This window comes from Homo sapiens, chromosome 6 (assembly GCF_000001405.40).
Source record: "Homo sapiens chromosome 6, GRCh38.p14 Primary Assembly".
NCBI classification, from domain to species: Eukaryota; Metazoa; Chordata; class Mammalia; order Primates; family Hominidae; genus Homo; species Homo sapiens.
Window position 1 is genome coordinate 166,429,089 of NC_000006.12, and position 22,459 is coordinate 166,451,547.

The 22,459-nt window shown below is 48.2% G+C and overlaps 1 protein-coding gene across 9 annotated transcripts in view, besides 2 other annotated features; it reads right to left on the minus strand.

Annotated features, from left to right (window-relative positions):
* The window catches only part of RPS6KA2 (ribosomal protein S6 kinase A2), a 453,410-nt gene that overhangs the window by 19,725 nt on the left and 411,226 nt on the right, over positions 1 to 22,459 (minus strand). For all 9 annotated transcript variants that reach the window (XM_047419235.1, NM_001318937.2, NM_001006932.3 and 6 more), the window contains 4 exons: positions 22,015 to 22,145; positions 19,636 to 19,761; positions 3,313 to 3,402; positions 1,365 to 1,523 (listed from right to left, as the gene is read on the minus strand). In XM_047419235.1, the coding sequence (XP_047275191.1) occupies positions 1,365 to 1,523; positions 3,313 to 3,402; positions 19,636 to 19,761; positions 22,015 to 22,145 (506 nt within the window). The remainder of the gene's footprint in view (positions 1 to 1,364; positions 1,524 to 3,312; positions 3,403 to 19,635; positions 19,762 to 22,014; positions 22,146 to 22,459) is intronic.
* Positions 6,235 to 6,736: an enhancer, noted in NCBI's record as "H3K4me1 hESC enhancer chr6:166848811-166849312 (GRCh37/hg19 assembly coordinates)". NCBI's record gives its function as "activates a minimal SCP1, AML or CMV promoter by ChIP-STARR-seq in primed H9 embryonic stem cells {active_cell/tissue: H9 hESC(primed)}" and the evidence as "EXISTENCE:reporter gene assay evidence [ECO:0000049][PMID:30033119]".
* Positions 20,466 to 21,132: an enhancer, noted in NCBI's record as "H3K27ac-H3K4me1 hESC enhancer chr6:166863042-166863708 (GRCh37/hg19 assembly coordinates)". NCBI's record gives its function as "activates a minimal SCP1, AML or CMV promoter by ChIP-STARR-seq in naive H9 embryonic stem cells {active_cell/tissue: H9 hESC(naive)}" and the evidence as "EXISTENCE:reporter gene assay evidence [ECO:0000049][PMID:30033119]".

The following is a 22,459-nucleotide window of genomic DNA, read 5'->3' on the forward strand; positions in this document are numbered from 1 at the left end:
TGGAATACTATGCAGCCATAAAAAATGATGAGTTCATGTCCTTTGTAGGGACATGGATGAAATTGGAGATCATCATTCTCAGTAAACCGTCGCAAGGACAAAAAACCAAACACTGCATGTTCTCACTCATACGTGGGAATTGAACAATGAGAACACATGGACACAGGAAGGGAAACATCATACTCTGGGGACTGTTGTGGGGTGGGGGGAGGGGGGGAGGGATAGCATTAGGAGATATACCTAATGCTAAATGACGAGTTAATGGGTGCAGCACACCAGCATGGCACATGTATACATATGTAACTAACCTGCACATTGTGCACATGTACCTAAAACTTAAAGTATAATAATAATAAAATTAAAAAAAAATTTTTAAATTTGAGACAGAGTTTTGCTCTGTCGCCCACGCTGAAGTGCAGTGGCGTGATCTTGGCTCATTGCAACCTCTGCCTCCCAGGTTGAAGCGATTCTCATGCCTCTGTCTCCTGAGTAGCTGGGATTACAGGTGTGTGCCACCAAGCCTGGCTAATTTTTGTATTTTCAGTAGAGATGGGGTTTTGCCATGTTGGCCAGGCTGGTCTCAAATTCTTGACCTCAGGTGATCCACCTGCATCAGCCTCCCAAAGTGCTGGGATTACACGTATGAGCCACTGCATCCAGCAAAATTATTGTTCTTTTGTTAAAATGCTATATAAGCTCAAGTTCTAACAACTCCTTGGAGTTATTCATGGCTGGGTGCTCCCGTGTGTATGTGAGATGCACATGTTAATAAACTTCTGTTTTTCTCTTGTTAACCTGTCTTTGGCCAGTCTTGTTTATAGGGCCTCCACCGAAGAACTAAGATGGGCAGAGGGAAAAAAGAATTTTTCTTTTCTTTTTTTTTTTTTGAGATGGAGTCTCGTCCTGTCACGCAGGCTGGAGTGCAATGGTGCTATCTCAGCTCACTGCAACCTCCGCCTCCTGGGTTGAAATAATTCTCCTGCCTCAGCCTCCCGAGTAGCTAGGATTGCAGGTGTGTGCCATCATGCCCAGCTAATTTTTTTTTTGTTGTTGTTATTTTTAGTAGAGACAGGGTTTCACCATGTTGGCTAGGCTGGTCGCGAACTCCTGACCTCGTGATCTGCCCGCCTTGGCCTCTCAAAGTGCTGGGATTACAGGTGTGAGCCACTGCACCCGGCTGGGAAGAGAATTTTTCTTCCCTTGCACCGTCACTGAGCCTCCAGACACAAGAGAGACGATGGTGGCACGGAAGGAATTCCAGGACAATCCGCGTTCTCAGCTCTTGAACCCATAAACCCTTGTGGTTTTGGTTCCTGCCCTGAAGCTCCCTCCTCCCCGAAGGCTGCCCCAGGCATGGCTCCTACCCCCTGGGAATGGAGGTAGTCCATGGTCTTGGTGATGGTGCACAGGACGTCACTGGCTTCGCGCTCCGAGAAGTATCTCTGCCGGAGGATGCGGTCCAGGAGCTCCCCACCACGCATCAGCTCCATTACCAGGTACACAAACTTGCCATCATCATAGACCTGCGGAGTGGAGAAGGGGCGCACACGTCACCACGGCTGGTTGCTGTGAAAGAGCAACTACTCCAGAGGGGACAGGAGAGGGAAGTCAGAGGGGAGAGGCTGGGACCACAGGGTCCTATGGGAGTGCAAACAAGGCTTCTGCAGGGTAGAAGCAAATGGCCATTCCTGTCATACCATATGTGCTCTTTTTAGGAAGAAAACGGCTTTAATAATCTGCTGCTAAGCAGGGACTGAGTAAGGACATACAAGATGGGCGTGTCCTTAGCTGAGATGAATGGCTTCATGACTCTGCCAGGAGATATTTGTTATTTATTTATTATTATTATTTTTTGAGATGGAGTCTCGCTCTGTCACCCAGGCTGAAGTGCAGTGGCGCCATCTCAGCTCACTGCAACCTCCAGCTCCTCCTGGGTTCAAGCGATTCTCCTGCCTTAGCCTCCCGAGTAGCTGGGATTATAGGTGCACGTCACCATGCCCAGCTAATTTTTGTATTTTTAGTAGAGACAGGGTTTCACCATGTTGGCCAAGCTGGACTCAAACTCCTGGCCTCAAGTGATCCGCCTGCCTCAGCCTCCCAAAGTGCTGGGATTACAGGCGTGAGCCATAGTGCCTGGCCTGCCAGGAGATATTTAGACGTTAAGAAATGCAAATGTTGGCAAACCACCTTGCAAGAGCAGGGCCTCAAGGCAGTGCTTTTCAAACTGTAACGTGCATCCAATCCAATCTTGGGGATCTTGCTAAAATGCATGTTCTGGTCCTGCAGACTGAGGTGGGGCCTGGCCCTCCGCATTTCTAACCAGTTTCCCATGATGTCTGTGCTGCTACCGCATGGACAGCACTGAGTGGCCAGGCGCTGGGAGCACAGAGAGGCTAGGCAGAGTCCAGGGCGAAGTTACATATCAGAGCCGTGCTGTTGCTTCAGAGAAGCAATAGAAAAAGATAGTTTTCTCCATACTGGCTTTTATCTCATAAACTAAATAAAAACAATATGCTCTGATTATTCTTTTTATGTTTCGATTTTTTGAGATGGAGTCTCTCTCAGTTGCCCAGGCTGGAGTGCAATGGTGTAATCTCGGTTCAGTGCAACCTCCACCTCCCAGGTTCAAGCAATTCTCCTGCCTCAGCCTCCGGAGTAGCTGGGATTACAGGTGTGCGCCACCACACCCGGCTAATTTTGTATTTTTAGTAGAGATGGGGTTTCACCATGTTGACCAGGCTGGTCTCAAAGTGATCTGCCTTCAGGAGACCTCAAGTGATCTGCCTGCCTACGCCTCCCAAAGTGCTGGGATTACAGGTGTGAGCCACCGCACCCGGCCTGTTCGGGCTATTCTTATGCCAAGCTTGCATGTTAAGACCGTTTGCACGCAGCAGTCACTATGCATGAGGGAAACTGAGGTAGGCCCAATATCCTGTGACTCTAGGTTCATAATGCTAGAATCAGTTTGGAGTTGGAGCGTGAGGAGGAAAATTGTCTCCTGTCTGTGCTCCCGGATCCCAAACCCTGCACCCCCATGGGCCTCTATGAGAGACTCCGCCTGTGGACTGTAATTCACACAAGCTCTCTCTTCCTCTGTTTTACTTGCTCCCTCCATGACTGGGGCGGTGGCTGTCAAAAAGACTTGAGTACACAGTCCAGCAAGTCAGCTCCAAGTGACTGAGATATGTGGGTGGTGGAAACCAGCTGAGACAGGCATGAGATGTGAGAAAGCTTGCTCTGAGTGAATGGGAGTTTTGTGTCAGTTGAAGAAACAGAAGGAAGTGGAGATGCTGTTGCACGGGGACCACTCACATCCTTGAGGGTGATGATGTTCGGGTGCTGGCCGTACCGCAGGAGGATCTCAATCTCTTCCGAGGGGTCTCTCTTGCTCTTATCAATGATCTGGAACAAACACAGCACATGGCAGTGAGGGGTCTACTTTAGGCTTTCGGGTGGTATCTGCTGGTGGACCATTGAGTTTGGATAAAGTCTGGCCCCAGGTGGCCCAATCACTACAATCTCACACCCGACCAAGAGATAACCTGAGATTGTCTGGAGATTCATGGCAAGTCCTTTCTTTGACAACTAGTGTAAGATTTACATCTACAAAGAGGAGTACAGGCTGGGCAAGGTGGCTCATGCCTGTAATCCCAGCACTTTGGGAGGCCGGGGTGGGCAGGTGGCTTGAGGTCAGGAGTTTAAGACCAGCCAGCTTGGCTAACATGACAAAACCTGGTCTCTACTAAAAATACAAATATTAGCCAGACATGGTGGTGTGTGCCTGTAATCCCAGCTACTCAGGAGGCTGAGGCATGAGAATCACTTGAACCTGGGAGGCAGAGGTTGCAGGGAGCTGAGATAATGCCACTGCACTCCAGCCTGGGTGACAGAGCGAGACTCTGTCTCAAAAAAAAAAAAAAAAAAGGAGTACAAGACTTCAGACATGAATTTTAAGGTGTTATAAGGTTGGGTGGAGACACGTGTAGGGAGCTCATGCAAGTGCCACCAAATAACAGACTGTGTCCCACCCTCGCAGTGGGCACCATCCACAACAAGCCTCCAGCCACTGTGCACCTTCTGCCTTGTTCCGGGAATTACAAACCAGCCACAAAATGAGGTGAGGCGCATGGCTCTCACCAAGAGATGCTGGGGATGGTGCGCAGGCCAGACCTGCCTTGCTGTTTAGACATATGCAAGCTCCCCTCCCCCGCCCAGCATCTGTATCCGATGTCTTAGGATAACAGATAAAGTTGCTTCAACCCCATGGAGACATATGGTTTCTGAGGACAGGGTGTTGGGATTTAAGCCTACCTTGGAAACAGGAAGTCGCTGTTGGTCCCTGGTGGCTAATCCCTCTGGAGGTGCCTAAGTCCCGCCCTTGCCGCCCCTGCTGTGGGGACGGGACCAGTGGGAGGAGGGCACCACACTCATGGGAAATTGGCAACATGCAACATGTATTTTGCAAACAACACTCAGAGCAGAAGAAAAGCGATTGGAAACACCTTCCTAACCATGATTTGTACTATTCTCACATTAGTTCAACCTAATTTTAAAATAGTCTCTATTTGGAGACCGTGCAGTCATTTTACTACTAGAATATGAGGGTGACTTGCTTTTAACTTCTATCATGTCAAAGTCTCTAGGCAGAGCTTTGCATAAAACTCTATTTCGTTAATTTTTTTTGGAGACAGGGTCTCACTCTGTTGCCTAGGTTGGAATACAGTGGTACAAGCATAGTTCACTGCAACATCAAACCCCTGGGCTCAAGTGATCCTCCTGCCTCAGCCTCCAGAATAACTAGGACTACAGAGGTGTGTGCCACCCTACTCAGCTAATTTTTAAATTCTTTGTAGAGATGATGGGGTCTTGCTGTGTTGCCCAGGCTGGTCTCTAACTCCTGGCTTCAAGTGATCCTCCTGCCTCAGCCTCCCAAAGTGCTGAGATTACAGGCATGAGCAACTACACCTGGCTATTTCTTTACTTTAGAGAACCAAACGCTTGGGTAGCATTTGACTCACTGCTCATAATCTGTCCCCTGGTCACCCTTCGTCCACTCCCCGTCACCGTTATAAAAACTCACCATAGTGCCAGTTCTCACCCCATTATAGTTTCAAAGGATGCTCTGCCACGGCCACCATTCAGCTGTGACTGCATCAGTGGCCCATGATCTGTGAGTCCTAATAGCCTGCGTTGTAAACAGGCAGAAGAGTTAGGGTCCCTTTCTGGACATAGAATTTCTCTCCTTCTGCTGCATTTAATTCTACTGAAGTTTTAGCTAGGACACTAGGACTAATTCTATTGCCAACATAAATGCATCATTCTCAAGTAGAGACTTTTAAAACGATCATTCAAGGAGGGGTGGGGGACTTTCCCTAACATGCCACAGCCTAAGCAGGTCCTGGGAGGCTGGTCCTGCACTGCTTGTAGGGAAGCTGGCTGTCAGGTACCCAAACTCCTCTGCTCCTGTCTGCCTGTGGGCATCCCGTCTATCGGGGCCGGGATCCTGTCTTTGCAATTAGAGAAGGTTAAAATACATTTATAAATTTATAAAAGAATTCAGTAGAAGATTTTTTCGCAAATATGATTTCATGATAAAGGGATGTGTTCTTAGCATGAATCTGTTTTATCACTCTCACAGTGGAACAAGATGCAGAGTAAACAAGAAAGTGGGAGCTTTTTCTCCACCGCCACGGACCATCTTCAAGATACAAGGAGTAAAAAAGGCCGACGCGAGCAGGTGCATCCTACGCCATCCCTTGTTTTAAAAATGGAGAGAAGAATGCAGATAGACGCATCCATTTCCTTGTGGGTGCATAAAATAACCCTGGAAGGAAGGAGGAAACATTTAATTGCCTTGCCTTCCTGTGAGGAGGGGAACAGGGTGCCTGGGGGCCCATGGGTGGGAGGGAAACTTTGCTGTATCCACATGAATTTTTAAAAATTTTGAACCACAAGAATATATTGTCTATTCAAAATATGAAATAAAGAATTCCAAAATTTCAGCTTACTATTTTGTAAGCTGAAATTGCAGGACAACGTGACTATTATTTTAAAGAATCTGGGACTACAGATGGCTGCCCTCTCAACCCTAGTATCTATTTTATTTCTATGTGTTCTTTTGTTGTGAGTCTTCAGAAAAATTCTGACTTACAATGATAAGTATTTGTAAACAGTTTTCAAAGACAGATTACCTTAAACTCTTGCTTACTTTAAAAACTATCTTAAATTGTAATAAAAGCTAGCATGTATGTGCACATGTGAGGCACACTGGATTTCAACCCATCGGAGCCAGTGTCCTGGTCATTTGCTAGAATCTGATACACATTTAAGCATGCATGTTGACTTTCATTACATTTTCAACATATTAGTTACGCCTTTCAAAATCATGTAATTGCTTGGTGGAACCCCCAAAGCACCTCTGTCAACAACCAAACACCACACACCAGCTGTTCGCTGAGGTGGCATTTGGGGAAATGGAGGAAAATGAAAGAAGCTCCCAGGCTGAGGTCCTGTGGGGACAGGAGCTCATCTGGAGGAGACTCCAAGGGGCCCACGAGTGCTGCTGTTTCTCACCACAGGGTAGAGCCAGCGGTCTTTCAGCAAACATCTGGTTTGCTCCTGAGGGGAAGTCACGTTTGCTGTCTCAGGCGACAACACTGCTGTGGGTGTGGGTGGCTTGGCCTGTGGCCATGTCACTTGCTGGTACTTGAATGTGGGTGTCTGCAGGCTCAGCTCCCGTGGAGGGCTGGAAAGGTGGAGGAAGGCGTTGCTCCTGGGGAGGCCACGTGCTGCGTGGTTGGCGGCCCAGCCGCTGAGCCAGTCTGAGCCCCAGCTGAGACCTGGCCTCCCTGTCCACTCCCTGTGGGGTTGCAGGAGCTCCCTGGGCCTCTCTACACCTAGCTTTCTTCATCTGTAAAACTAGAAAACACCAGGCACTCCTCTGGCTCACTGTTAAGATTCAACAAATTAATATGAATCGATCCCTTCATACTCTCCCTGGTACACAGAAAGCACTTGGTACAAGTGAGTTATTCCTATTACAGAGATAAAATAGAATTACCCTGACACCGCCAGGCAAGGGACTAAGCAGCTGTGACCTGCCACGTTTACAGCCCTGAAATGCTGCTTTCGGTCCTGTCTGAATCCTCACTGCGAGTCCGTGCCATGAAGCAGTGTGATGTTTAAAACTAATGTCAGCAGTAGAGCGTGTTTCAGTTAAAGCCCCAGAAAAAAAAAAAAAAAAAAACCTCAGATGTCACACCAACTGGGTCAACCCAGAGGCCTTAATTAAAGGATCGTTTGCAAAGGAGTAGAGTGGCTGGAGGGTCACTGGCCGGCCAGCAAGGCACAGTGTAATGCCTTGGGGGCAGTCCTGGCTCTCAATGCCAAAGAGCTGCGCAGGGTCAGTCACAGGACCAGAAGGGGCTGCATGGGGTGGGGAGGTGCGCCCTGACAGGGGCTGTGGGCAGAAAGGCCTCGGCCCGACACTTCTCTTCCCACTCTTGTCCTGTGGTGTCTGTCTCGCACTAGCAGAACTGCCCAGGAGCCAGAGGCATGGAAGTGGTCCCTAACAGTCAGCCTCCTGGCTTCCTTGCCTCCTGGCCTCCCAGCCTCTGAGGCACAGGGCAGCGAGGAGGGTGGGTTTGCATGGGAAATGGCGCTCCCCGTCCTGGAAGGGAAGTCCCACAGACTGGGGTCTCTCCTGCCTCAGCCTCCCGAGTAGCTGGGATTATAGGGCACATCCTGGAAGGGAGTCGTGGCGGGAATAGGTTCTCACACGACCCTCCTGGGCTCCCGCCTTCCCCTGACCCGGGAGAATTAATCCAAATCAAGCCAAGGCTCTGAGATGAAGTGGCAAGGCAGTTCTGACCCAGCGTTTCCGTCCCGGATGCTGTCAGGAAGTGCTGGCTGCTTTTCCCTGTAACTTTTTCTGAAAAAAAAATTTTTTTTTTTTGCTTTTGTTTTTATTTTTGCATGGAGGGTGAGCTATTTGAGCAAGGTAAGGCTGGAGAGTGCTAACGCAGGAGTGGGCAGTGAGGTGTGGCTACAGTCCTGGAGTACATGACCTGGATCTGCTGCGGGCAGCCGGGGTTTGGACACACTGTTTAGGAGCACCAGGGAGTGGGCCCCAAGTGCCTGCCAGCGCACTTCTTCTCTATGGGGTCGGTTTCTTGGGGTTGACCGTGTTGGTCTTACTCTTATTAGAGCAAGCTCTGGTGGACGGCGTTCCTCATTCTGAGAATAATATTGTTTTATAATCTTTATTATGCAACAAAACAGGGAGGCCTTCTCAGCAAGCGTGGTGATGAACAAGGCCTCCCCTCCAGGCTGACGCTCAAATAATGCTGACGCGCCACGGAGTAGGAGTGGTGTCGTGGGGCGGGGGACAAGCTCGCTCAGCTTTCTTTTTCTCATCTGGCAACAGCTGGTTAGAAAGGACTCCTACAACCTCCAGAGAAGGGCATTCTCCAGGGGTTGGCCACCCACCACAGCCGGTAAATAAACTTTCCATGGTGTTGCCACCGAGCAGGCTGAATATTTCCACCTTCCTTAGAGATGCTGAGTCTAGGGGTCTGAATATCCACGAAGCAATTCTGGGTTCAACATGGATGGCACACCACCATGATCTTCCTGAGCACGGACACATGCAGCCATGTGCCAAACAAACACTGCCATTCCTGCTGGCCGAAGGCGACAACAGGAGACTTCGCTGCTCTTGATAACACCTTTCCTCCTGCTGGCCGAAGGCGGCAACAGGAGACTTCACCGCTCTCGATACACCTTTCTGGTCTTTGCGTTTCTCTACCTTCCCTGTCTTTCTTGTCTCTCTCCATCAGTGGAGACACCGTCTCCCGGGACACTCAGCAACCTGAGCAGATGGCTTTGAGGCAGTAACTACGCGGGCAGTGGCATGAGCTCACAGGCTTGCAGAACACTCCCACTAGGCAGGCCATTTCCCTTGAGTTGCCGAAAGGATCAGTATCGTATTTGACACAAAGGTAGGAGAGCATGTAATCATTTGTAAAATTTAACAGACACCTTCTCCTGTAAAATTAATTTAAACTAATGACAGAGAGAAAGAACTCCTGTTTTATCCTGGTAGAAAAAGTTAAAATTTCCAAGCTCATCAGTTCTCCTTCTAAAAATAAGCTCTATTCATGCCGAACATCTGTCTTAATTCCGTTTCTTTTTTTGGTTGGCAAATTACACACACAGTGTGAAGATGGGCACAGAAACACCACGTTCTTTTCAACGGTCTCACGTGAGTACAGACTGGAGCCTCCTCAGGAAGGCTGGCCCGCGCTCCAGGCCTGCGTGGTCACGCCGCGTCACTACAGTTAACAGCTGGGTGACACATATTCTTGCACAGTTCTAAGGATCTCACTTTATTTCTTATCAGATTCTGTTGCTAAAGCAAACTAAGGTACTTTCAATACCATAACAACAAAAATTTGCTACCGAAAAGGGAGAGTAGCTGCATCTTAACTCATGTGCTTCTTTCTAGGAAAACCCAGCCCCACTGAGCTTGTGCGGTCTTCTTCTCCTGCACGAGCTTTCAGACAATTGAAGGGAAATTTACAAGTGCAACAGTCAGTGAACAGGCACGTATATTGGTACCATGTGTTTGAAGATACAACAGGCCAAGAGAAAGAGCCAAACCAACTGTAAAGCTCATTTAATTTCAGATTCCGGAGATGCACTCCACTTTTTGGTATAGTTTCTGGTTCTGTCATTGACACAATTCCTAAATGGCTAAGCTGTGAGCTCCCTGGAGCAGGTTTGTGTTCTCACCTTGCCCTGCGTCTGTTGCAGTAAAAGCGTCCAATTAAAAAAAAAAAATTCTCAATGAATGAAAAAAGTAACCAGCTTCCTGAACAAGGGGATTGCTGCAGAAAGAAATGGATTCCAAAGGCACGAAGTGCTCTGTTGAAGAATTATATTATAAACCCCGATTTTAAAAATTTGAATTTGAAGGAAAGCTCCTGATTCATATTTTTTCTTGTCTTTATTTTTAATTAATTAATTAATTAATTATTTGAGATGGAGTCTCTCTCTGTCGCCCAGGCTGGAGTGCATGGCACAATCTCGGCTCACTGCAACTTCTGCCTCCCAGGTTCAGATGATTCTCCTGCCTCAGCCTCCTGAGTAGTTCGGATTACAGGCACGCGCCACCATGCCTGGCTAATTTTTGTATTTTTAGTAGAGACGGGGCTTCGCCATGTTGGCCAGGCTGGTCTCGAACTCCTGACCTCAGGTGATCCAACTGCCTTGGCCTTTCAATGTGCTGGGATTACAGGCATGAGCCACCGTGCCCGGCCATATATTTTTCTTTTAATCAACACTTAGCCTTTCACTACCAAATATTTATGCTAAATGAAGATAAGGAGCCCCTTCATTGTGTGCTGAAATTGAGTGAGCTCCTGCCATGTGCCCGACTTTGTTGAGGTGCTGGAACTATAGCAAAAGCAAAGCCTTTGTTGCCCTGGAGTGGCTGCCCTCACAGGGCCGTGCACACAGACAGTGAACAACCCATGCAGGGGGAACGTGCCATAGGGAAGATGATGTGGGTGAGGGGGGCTGCTGGCTGCAAAAGATGGAGGCGGGGAACTAAAATCAGGGCATCCTGTGGGCTTTGGGTGCATATTTGTGTTCTCTGGTTGGTCCTGACTTGGAAGCAGGGACAGAACTTAGGAAGCTGTCAGTCATTCATCAAGTCCTGGCCATGTGGGGCTGACTGTCACAGAATTTATAGTTCAGCTTCCTGGGCTGTCACTAGAGATAGCAATCTGGCTTCCTGCAAGCCTGACACAGCTGCTGGCCTCCCGAGCTATGTATTGTAGATAAAGGGGCTGGCTGCAGGTGTGGGTCAGACTTCTGTCGGGCACCCAGCCTGGCCACCATCTGCTGTGTATCCACTCTCAGCCCCCAGAGCCCGCGGAAGGAACCAGCCTTGGGGACACTGGACTTTAGCCCAGTGAGACAGATTTCAGAATTCTGACATCCAGAGCTGGAAGACAATAAGCTCAGGTTGTTTTAAGCCACTAGATGTGGGGTAATGTGTTGCATTCCTAAACAATAGGAAACTAGCCTGTGTTGAAAGACCGGGGAGAGGTTTGCAGTGGGAGAGTTGAGAGCCAAGTTTTGGCTGGTGGGTGGGAGCCTGTGAGATGGGCTCGGGGACCCGGTAGTGGGCAGAAGGCACATGCTACATCTTATTGCTGATGACCGTCCTCCGCCGCATGCCTGCTGGGAGGGGCTGAGCATACGAGAAACAAAACCATAAGCCAATCACATTAAGCCTTTCTCGTTTCGAAAAAGCAAAAGTGCAGCTCGCTGCCAGCGCTCATTTGATTTTACATAAACATGTTCATTAAGGCTGAAACAAATCTGATTTTCCATGTGAAAATAAAATTTAAAAACTGTTACTGGAGTTATTTCTAAACAGAACTAATATCAGAATCATCTGAATCATCAGAATTGTCTATTTTGGAAAAATTGGATTCATCAAATGAATCTTTGGCCAACAACTGTTTGAGAACGAAGTTAACATCCCATGTAGGAATGCTACGTTTTCTAGGATTTGACATTATCAGCAATCGATTATGACTATATTTTGTAAATGGAAATGCCACTACTAAAAACAGAATGCTATCGATAGAATGATGTCCTTTGTTTCCAAAGTTGGTATACTAGAGCGGTGCAAAAATAATAATAAAAGTGAGATATTTCGCGGCAAAGTTATCTCGGGGCAAACGCTGCAGCCGCAAGTGCCGCCGGTGAGTATTCTTGGGGAAAACGGGCAAAGGGTTAAATCATCCAGAAAGGCAGCTTCCCAGTGTGTGTTTCGAGGAGATACAAATGCCCAACCAATTCCACTGAGGAGCTTCTTTGATTAGAGAATGCCTGTGCAGAGACACAGGCTGGACAGAGCATCTATTCTGGCAGGCGATACAGTCATTTTCCCGTCTTCGAGTCTCTCTCTTCTGGTGGAAGAGAAATTTATGCCACCGTTTTCCTCAGTCATGCAATCTGTTACCAAAGCTGCCCCGTCTCCTTCCTTGTCCATCTAAATGTTGCTTTCTTTCTTTTCTATTTTCTATTTTATTTAACTGCTCCTAGTCCCGGCCTCTGTGCCTGTGAACGCTCCTTTCTCTGTTTCCACTGTGGCTGTGAAGGCATCTACAGCCTCTGCCTGTCTCTGCACCACTGCTGTTCTTGAGATGGTTCATGTTGCTCCTTCACATAGCTCAACTCTCAACTGCTGTTTCTCTTTGCTTCAAATTTTCACATGATTTCTATGAAAAATGCATTTTGATCCCTAAAGACAGGACTGGCCTGGACCTCTCTCTTCCCAGGTTTGGCCACAGTGGTTTGACTCAGCTGCACAGCCACCTCTGTTCCCCAAGACGGGTGCAGCTAACACCCCACGTGATACTGGGAAGCCCCATGGTGAAACCATCCACTGCTTTCTCAATGGCTTAGAATTCTTTGCAGGACCTGGCACTGGATCCTCTGGAGTGAACTTGAACACAAGCTCCCCTGAGTCCTCTCCTTCTCCGGCCCCGTGCGGCTCACTGCAGCGCCCAGCGTTAGGCCATGGGCTCTTTCAAGATGTAGCTTCTGCAACAAGCCCAGGTGCTGCCCTGAGGACGAGCAGGCTGTGATCCACAGGAGCCGGGGCTAGTGCTGCCAGTGACCTCGGAGCACAGACTGAAAACAGAGGTCTACATGAACGCAGACCATCCTGAATGCTGTGGGGAAGGAAGCTGGAGCAGCTGCCGGGGGCCGGGGGCCGGGACCCTGGCTAGGGGCCTCGCAGCTGAGTGCTGGAGGAACCAGGTGCACTGTGCCTTTGGAGGTGAAGTTAGAGGAAGCGGTCCGGCTGCCGCTCAGCACTTACACAGCTGAACCATGGCCCACTTGGTGGCAGCAGGACCTTTCACTGGGGTACACCCAGACTCATAAGACCAGGAGACTCAGGTGCGATTTTACATAGAGCTCCACTTGCACCTGGCACACCTTCCCCTTACAGCCTAGGGACTTTGGCTATTTATCAAACAATGGATTTTTCTTGCAGGTCCCATGACTTGAGCTTTCCAGCTATTCTGAAGCCCAGCCTTACTGCCCAGCCCCATCTGCTCTGAATACTGCCTCATTCTTTCATGGTTTGGGTACTCTGAGATGCATAGAGCATCTGGCTGAAACAGAACACTGGGGCTCCCCGCCTTATGACGAGTGAGTCTGCTGGACAGGGGTCGAGAGTGTGCACTCGGGGTCTGACTGCTTGGACGGGAACCTGCTCTCTCACTGACCGGCTGCGACTTCTCGCATATGTGTTGAACCGTTCTGAGTTTCTGTTCCCTCATGGGGATAATGAAAATAATTACACCGTGGGATGCTGTGAGGATTAAATGACTTCACACATACAGAGCGCTTATAGCAGTGCTTGGCACGTACTGAGTATGAAGTATTTACTCTCGTCATCCTCGTAACTCTCGTCACCATATTCTATCTAACGCCTGCAGCTCCTGGTCTCAGGAACTTCAGTTCTCGGGCAGTTTCCTCTTCATATGTGTACTGACGTTGGTGTTTTGCAAAAGAGGGTCAAGGTGGCAAAATTGGCACTCGAATGATGTAATGTAGTTTTATGCCTATTATGACATCTATAATAAATAAAAACTTCAGTCATTAGTAGAGATGGCCAAGAGCTCTCTCAAGGTATGTGTATTAAGCTTATGAGAAGGGGAGATACTAGTGACACAAGCTAACATTTCTGTAGTGAATTAGCTATGATATGTGTAGACAGTTGACCCTTGAACAACATGGGGGTTAGAGGTACCGACCCCTCAAGAAGTTGAAAATGCACATATAACTTTTGACTTCGCCAAAACCTAACTAATGTCCCACTGTTGACTTAAAGCTTTACCAGTAACATAAACGGTCCATTAACACATATTTTGTATTTGTATAATTATATACTGTATTAAGAATAATTATACAATTATATACTGTATTAAGAATACAGTATATAATTCTGTAATAATACGATCTAGAGGAAAGAAAATGTTACTAAGCAAATCATAAGGAAGAGAAAATACATTTAGTGTATGGGACTGTATTTATGGATATAGTGAGTTTATGCCATCTGTTCACAAGATGGATCGTCTGTCTGAAAAGGGGGGCACTCACAGCTGCAGACCTCAACCTGGGGTACGTATCATGCAATTCAACTTTTGTTTTTTTTGGTCATGTGATGACTTTTCTCTGCCTCTTGGGAGCACTCACAGCGTCCCTAGTGGCACGGGACTTCTTAGTGGTTCTATGGTGTTATTCAAGGTTTATGGAACTGCACTAAACACGGTGAAAAATATGTGAGAACCACAAGATACCATTTTTTACTGCTATTCCCAATTCCCTGGAGAGACAGACTCCTCACATGGAGACGAGGAGTGTCACAGGACGTTTAAAGCGGATCCTTCCAACACCTGAGCTTACTACAGCAGCAATGGAAGGCTGCTGTGAAATTCTTACGGTAGTGCCATATTCGCCACAGTTAATTTGCTGCAGCTATGATTTAATGCTGAATCTATGTTTGTTTACATTTATCTCAACTGCAAATGGCGCCACGTATGGTCTATGCTTGAGCACATAAATTTTGATACATTTTAAGTTTGTATAATAAATCTGTGTATATTTTATAGTAGAAAATGATAAAATAGACTAGCATCTATGTATATTTTATGCATCCTGACATACCATTTTCTTAACTTTTTAAATATTTCTAGGCTATGTGGTTTGTCTGTGAGTTTCTTCAAATTGTAACAAATCTCTAAAAAATTTTCCAGTATATTTACTGAAAAAAATCTGCATACGTGGATCCTCACAATTCAACCCCGTGTTGTTCAAGGGCCAACTGTATATATTTACATATTCCCCCACCAATATAATGCCAGGAATCCTTCCATTTATACAAATCAGCACTATCTAGAATATGTACCTAATTATGTTAAGCAACAAAGTCCTAAGAATAAAATAAAAACAAATAATTCCCTCTCTCAATTCTTATAAAGTGAATACAGCATCTTTGATGGAATAGGAATATTATTTTTTCTTTCAAATACACCTCTCCCCTTCCTTTTAATCCTCCTGGATCACGATTACCTCCAACACTTAATAGTCACTTCTATTTTAATCTTATTTTAAATGAAGGGTGCCCTAATGTGCGGACAGCAATGCAGCCATCCGTCATGCTATTTTGAAGCCCTATACAACTTCATCGCCCACCACTAGTCTCCCTGGGTTGGTTATAAAAACAAAGGCGGACTTTAGTTTTCCATTAGATTACTTAGCTGTTTTGTCCCAATAAAATGGCTTGTAGTTATTAGAAAGTAGGGCACATCTGTTCACCTACAATGTGTCTGATAAAAGGAAGAGGAAGCGCTGAGGGAACATAATAGCTTTTCTCATTCAACCATCAGAGCACTGGCTGGGGGCACCGGCAGAATGCGCTGCATCAAGTCCAGCCTGAAACAGTGCCGTGCGCGTGAGAAGGAAGAGGGTCGGTGTCTTCCCGCCCGAGGCCGGACTGCCCCAGTGAAGGATCTTGGACGTTCTAGTGTTGTTTGCCGAAGTCGAGAGGGAGGGACAAGCCTGGGAATCCAGGTTGTCATTCAGCCCACGTGAATTGAGCCCCTGCTCTAAGCTGGGCACTGTGTTGGAGACTGCGATAGCTAGAATTGGTCTTAATTTTAGTCCTAATTTTAGGACCGATTCTAGCTGTCACTTCCCACAACCTTTGGCAGAGTACCCAGCATATAGCAGGGACTCAAGTTAAAAATGCAGCTGAAAATAAATGCAAAGTGAACAATCTTGTCGTTTGATTTACTCAGGTAAACTGGTTTCAGTAGAACCTTAAATGTAGTTTACGTTATTCAGGGTAATTATGGTGGCAAAATTAGAAACCTGCAAAAATGCAGAAATAACTTAAAGCAAAATATAATGATATTCTAAGAATGTGAGAAGTACTATGATTCCATACTCACTATGAACCTCCATACCTGACCGTCATAGAGGTGAAGAGCTGGCCCCACTCTCCTCTTAGAAGGACCTGCACTTTAAGTCACGGCCCAGTCACAGTGGGGTGGGGGTGGGGGGCTGCCCGCAGCACGTGGGGAACACTGAGCTGTTGGTCGGTCATCATCCTGTTGCTAAAGGACTCACCAGAAACTCAATGAAGAAGAAAAACTCCATCCCCATCTCCAAAATATCAACCTCCTGGCCTTTATCTACATGAGACCTGCTCTCACCCACAAGGATGCTGAGGCTGGGCTTCTCAACCTTTCGTTGGGGCAGCAGGTTGTGGGGGCTGTCCTGTGCACACAGGATGCTAACCAGCTTCCCTGACCCGTATTCACCAATGCCAGGAGCCCCTGTCCCAGCTGGAAAAACCAGAAAGTCTCCAGACATTGCCAGTGTCCCCTGGGGGCCACAGTTACCCCAAATGAATATGACTGCCCTGGGCAGAATCCATCGATTCTGGTCACTCTCCTCATTGCTTACTAAAGATTGCTGCATTTCTCTTTCTGTCATTACTCGGTGGGGACATTTCTGGGTCATCCCTGCCATTGAATGGGAGGATGCCCTGTCTGGCTGTGACGGGACTGCTTCTGAAGCAGACCCCGTTTGTATCCATGAGCCAGGGGTAGGTGGGATCGTATACGGCTCAAGCGGCAACTGGGAGTGGTAAAGCCGGATTCTAGTGACAATCTCGGCTGGACATCTGCTGAGCTGAGATCCAACTCACACATCAGATAATCAGCTGCCACATGCTTAGTTCTGGGTCATGTTAGAAGTCACCGAACTTTGCTGTTTCTTAGTCCATCAATAGGTGGGGATGCTGCTTCTCATGAACAAGTCAGCAGATACAGACAAAGGCCAAAAGTATTTCAACTACATTCCACCTGGAAATGCTGAAAACAAAACCGCACAGTGCTCTGCACTGGGTCAAAGCAGTTTTGGTAACAAGTGGACCCATTCTAAATAACAAGCTCGTTGCACAGAAATGCCAATTCGTCCATCTTGGAAGGAAATCCAAACAACCGTGTCTACCTGCAGATAATTGAACTTGTTGTCACCGCTCCCTTGACCGGCTGAAACGTGCTTCTGAAGTGGCTCTGGTCACAGGAGCCTTCTGGACCACGAGCCACATCTCTCTAAAAAGTCCCGGGCCGTTCATGGGGCTGCACCTTCCCGTGCTCGGTTAATTTATGCATCTTCCAGACTACACATTATTACCCACTGTAGTCTCAGAAGGGACAAGGGAAATCCCTGCCATGTCTGCTGGCCAACTTTGTCCAGGGAACTTCAGGGTTTGTGAAAGAGAAACAGGAAGACCGGGCTCTTTCTTCTACCATCGGCCAGAGCCACAGTGCCTGGCTTCTCTCCCCGAGAGCTGTTGCTGAAATTCCACAGAGTTTGACCTCAACAAGATCTTTGAGGACTGACGGACTGAGTTTAAGCTGTGTAACAAAGCTGAATTCAGACAGTGTCCATATAAGAGCTGGATATGGGAATATTAGGAGAAAACACACCATCGCCTCGTCACTGGGGGATTTACTTGCAGAGGCACAAAATGGGGGCTGATCCGCAGGCTGTTTCTGGAAGGGCACCGCGGCTGCTGGGCTGACCAAACCGTAGGCTTGTTTCTTTGAGCTCACTGGGAAGCAGTGATTGTTTCTGGGATTGCTGTCTGTCACCTGGTAAATAATCTAAAGAAATCCTGTGAGCAATGACTCAGGCAGAAAAAAATTCCAAGGAGCCTATGTAGGCTTACGAAGCACATGTGAAATACGTTTCAAAGTACAAGTGAAATTCTCTTGTCTAAGGCAGAATACAGGTCTGCTCTTCACCACTGGAACATCTGGACACAGGAACGGCACCTGGGTATGCAGATGGTAGGCGCCCATCTAAGTGCTCCTTTAAAAAACTCTCCCAATGGGATGGAGGAGCAGGACAAACCAATCTCAACAATCCAAATCCTAGAAACGCATGAAGCCTACGCGCCCCAGGCTGCAGAGGCAACCACTTCATAACAAAACTTGGTTTTCTCCTGCCCTTCACACCACGGGTGGACATTCTACCATGACAGTAACCCTCGCTGCAGTCTCCACCCAATTACAGTTCCAGGAACTGTAAATCATGATCTATTTCCTTCCATTCACCCTTCCTGGATGTGTTCAAGACTCTGGGCAGACTAAACACAGAGATGGTATCAGAGCAAATCACAAATTGATTATTTCTCCATATTTAAACTTTCTTTTTTTGTTTGAGAAATTCAAGATAAATTTGTCAATAATCCATAAATTCTTGACCCAAACAAAATCAAGGGACCTGAGATTTTTTTTCGGCTGGCGTCTTCTATGACAGCAAAGCGTTTTCCCAGTGCAAGAAACACGGTAGACGTTCCCAGTGAATATGCTTGAGGATCCCAGGCCATGCTTGAGGATCTACCCTTTTGAAATACCTGTTTTCACAAAATGTCAGTGGAGCTCTGGGCAAATGAGGATGGAACTGGGTCATCTCAACATTGTCATTATTTTGAACAATCTCTTCAGAGTGTAGGAGAATCACAGTTGATGAAAATTACTCTTTTTACACGACTTGCTGGCTGGGCAGATGTTCTTTGAAGGGCAAGCGTAGCACCGTGTGCTACAGACGTGTCTGGGAATAAGCCGGGAGGGTCCTGGTCATGATGGCAACACAGGCTGGGACCTCGCTCTGCGACAGCCTGGGGTTTGGCTCCACTGGAAAGGGGCAGAGTTTCAAGTGTCTCTTGCTGTCTTTTGGAGAGGATGTACAATGTATCTTTTTTTAACATAAATTTCATTCTGATTTTAGCAGGAAGCTTTACCTTTAATCCACATTTTACTAACCAAAAATCTCTAGAAACTGGTATTCTGGATTCCCAGATCAAATATTTAAGCAGCAACAATTACGAAAGCTAAAGTTACTATGTAGAGATTGCCAAATTGGGTTACAAAGAATTGTTTCTCTATACTGTTCTTGACGGTTGGGAGTAAAACCATTAGCTCTCTGCCAAAGTTTGTTGTAAGTAATACAAGCTTATTTATTTCTTTGAGTATTTTCTTCCTCCCTTTTTTCTTTCCTTCCTTTCCTTGCCAAATTCTATACCTGTCCCCCAACTCTGTTTTCTCAAAATACTGGGGGCCCAAAACTTTTGCTCTTGGTGTATGTCATACACCAAGCTACGAAAGGTGCTCAGTCCCTGCGTGGTACATATGACTGAAAATATTCATGATTTGCAAAACTACCTTTTAATGGGTGACCTCATATCAAAGCAAACTGAACTCCATCATATCAGAGCTTGGAAAATGGCAAATGGAGAGAATGTTCACTCAGGCTCAGGTGTCCCTGCTGGAGTCACTGCACAGCTGAGCACGTGAGCACATATGCTGTGCTCCTATGCTCCGTGCTCCCATGTGCTGTACATGCTCCCACACGCTGCACTCACACAGGGCCCTGCTATGCTCCTATGCTCCGTGCTCCCACATACCACACGTGCTCCCACGCGCTGCACTCACACAGGGCCCTGCTCACTCAGCAGGCCTGCCTTACCTTCACGGCATACTCGGTGTCTGTGGCTTTATGCACACATCGCTTGCACACTGAGTAGGAGCCCACCCCGATGTCCTCCTTGATCTCGTAGCCATCGGTGAAGTGGATGTTGTTCCCGTGTAACTGCTGCAGAGGGACCAAGAGAAGAAGAGTTGTCGGAACCCTCACACGAGGGGACGGTGCAGCTACACGCACACAGAATGTGGGGCGAAGAGAGGCACCGACTGTGAACTGAGTGTGTGGAGGCCTGGGAGCTCATGGGTCCCCCTGCCCAAGGCTGCAGAGCTACTTAGTGATGTTCTTGACCTAAATGCCAGCTTCTCTGATTCCTTGGGCTATGACTCTTAACTTTGAGACACCAGGCCGTTCTGTGTCCACTGGCTGGTATGTTTCTCGCAAAGATCTGAGAGCAGGAGAATGTGAAAGTGAAAAGGAAGTGCTGGCAGCTGCTGGGTGCGTGGCTCCAATGCCTGTGTGCAGAGCAAGACTCTGGATGGAAACATCTCATCGGAAATCTGACTCCATGGTGTCCAAGTCACAGCCTGCTCTGACCTGCATGCAGCAGCCCCACCCACCCGCTCTTAACTAAGACAGAAAGCCACCATGGCAGCCTGCACTGTCATGACAACGTCTACTTTACACACCTGTATTTCTCCAAAGGCCAGGGAAGGAAATAGGATGGAAATCCAATGCCATTCAACTTACCCGGATTTCATTCTTAAATAAGTTTAATCATAATTAGAATTAAGTTTAACCCCTTAGAATTCTCTGTATTCTGGTTACATTTATTAGGTGGGAAACTCATTATGAAAATACCACCTTCCAAAGACCTCCCAAAGATTCCATTTCATCATGGGAAAATGATGCCCACAAATTAAACTGCTACCCTAGGGTCCTGGCTGGGCTCCACACAGTGAAGATGCTCCAGTCTCTGGCCATAGACACCATGGTGACATTCTTCCCAGGGCTTTACCTTCCCTCTTTAAGACGAATGCCAAGTAGGGTAGGAGCAAGGGCTCAGAACACCATGGAATACCACCACGGAGACCATTACAGGGACCACCATGGGAGCCACCACGGGGACCACCATGGGAACCACCACAGGGACCACCACGGGACAACCACGAGGACCACCATGGGAACCACCACGCGGACCACCATGGGACAACCACGAGGACCACCATGGGAACCACCATGACAGACTACCACAGGGACCACCACAGGAACCACTACAGGGACCACCATGGAGACCACCACAGGGACCGCCATGGGAACCACCATGGATGTCACCTAAGGGACCACCACAGGAGCCACCATGGGAACCACCACAGGGACCACCGTAGGAGACCATCATGGGTACCACCGGGGAACCACCATGGGGACCAACATGGAGACCAACACAGGGACCACCATGGGAACCACCACAGGGACCACCAGGGAGACCACCATGGGGACCACCACAACAGGGATCACCATGGGAGGCTACCCTAGGGACCACCACAGGAACCACCACGGGAACCACCACAGGGACCACCATAGGAGACCATCACGGGTACCACCAGGGAACCACCACGGGGACCACCATAGGGACCACCAGGGGGACCACCACAGGGACCACCATGGGAGGCCACCCTAGGCACCAGCATGGGGACCACGACAGGGACCACCACAGGAGATCACCACAGGGACCACCACAGGGACCACCATGGGGACCACCACAGGAACCACCATGAGGACCACCATGGCTACCACCCCAGGGACCACCCTGGGAGACCACCATGGGGACCACCAGAGGGACCACCCCAGGGAACACCATGGGGACCACCACAGGGGACCACCCAAGGGACCACCATGAGGACCAACACAGGAGGCCACCATGGGGAATATCCATGGGAGACCACCACAGGGACCACCCCAGGGACCACCCTGGGAGACCACCATGGGGACCACCACAGGGACCACCACAGGGACCACCACAAGGGACCACCCCAGGGAACACCATGGGGACCACCACAGGACACCACCATGGGGACCACCACAGGGACCACCACAGGAGGCCACCATGGGAGTATCCATGGGGACCGTCACAGGGACCACCACTGGAGACCACCATGGGGGCCCACAATGTGAGACCATCACAGGAACCACATGAAGGAGCACCACGTGAGATCATCATGGGGACCGCCATGGGGGATAACCACGAGGGACCACCATGGCAGACACTCAGAACAATGGGAAGTGTGAGGGAAGAATTGGTGATTAAAGTCCACCCATCCTAAGCACCCAACCCCCGGGTGACTGAGGCCACAGGGAACACCAGAGTCACCCATCATCCAAGTGCCCTCTTACCCCCAACCCACTGCAGGCAAACACAGTTACCTGCACGATTGGGTGAACTGGGACTTTGTGCAGATCTTGCTGTGAGGGCTCCTGGATCAGGCTTGAGGCCACAAAGCTGAATCCTCTAAACAGGTGATGAGCGTTTGCACTCGGGGGGACGCCAGGAGAGTCTGTAGGTGACAGGGGCAGAGTTCAGATGCCACGAAAGCTGGGTGACCCTGGGGTGAAGTGATAGTGTGTGTGTGCATGTGGTATGTGTGTGCAAGTCCGTGTGTGTGTGTGTGTGTGTGTGTGTGCACGTGGCGTATGCCTGTGGTGGAGGAAAAGGTAAAACAGACATGTAGAAATGCTGAACCAGATGAAACTACATTCTTTTGGCTTGTGCTAATGGTTTGATTTTTAAATGGCAAAAATACCCAGAACAAAAACTTCAGGATTATCATTGATGGCATCTGTTAGTTTGCCAACTTCTGAATTTACTCTA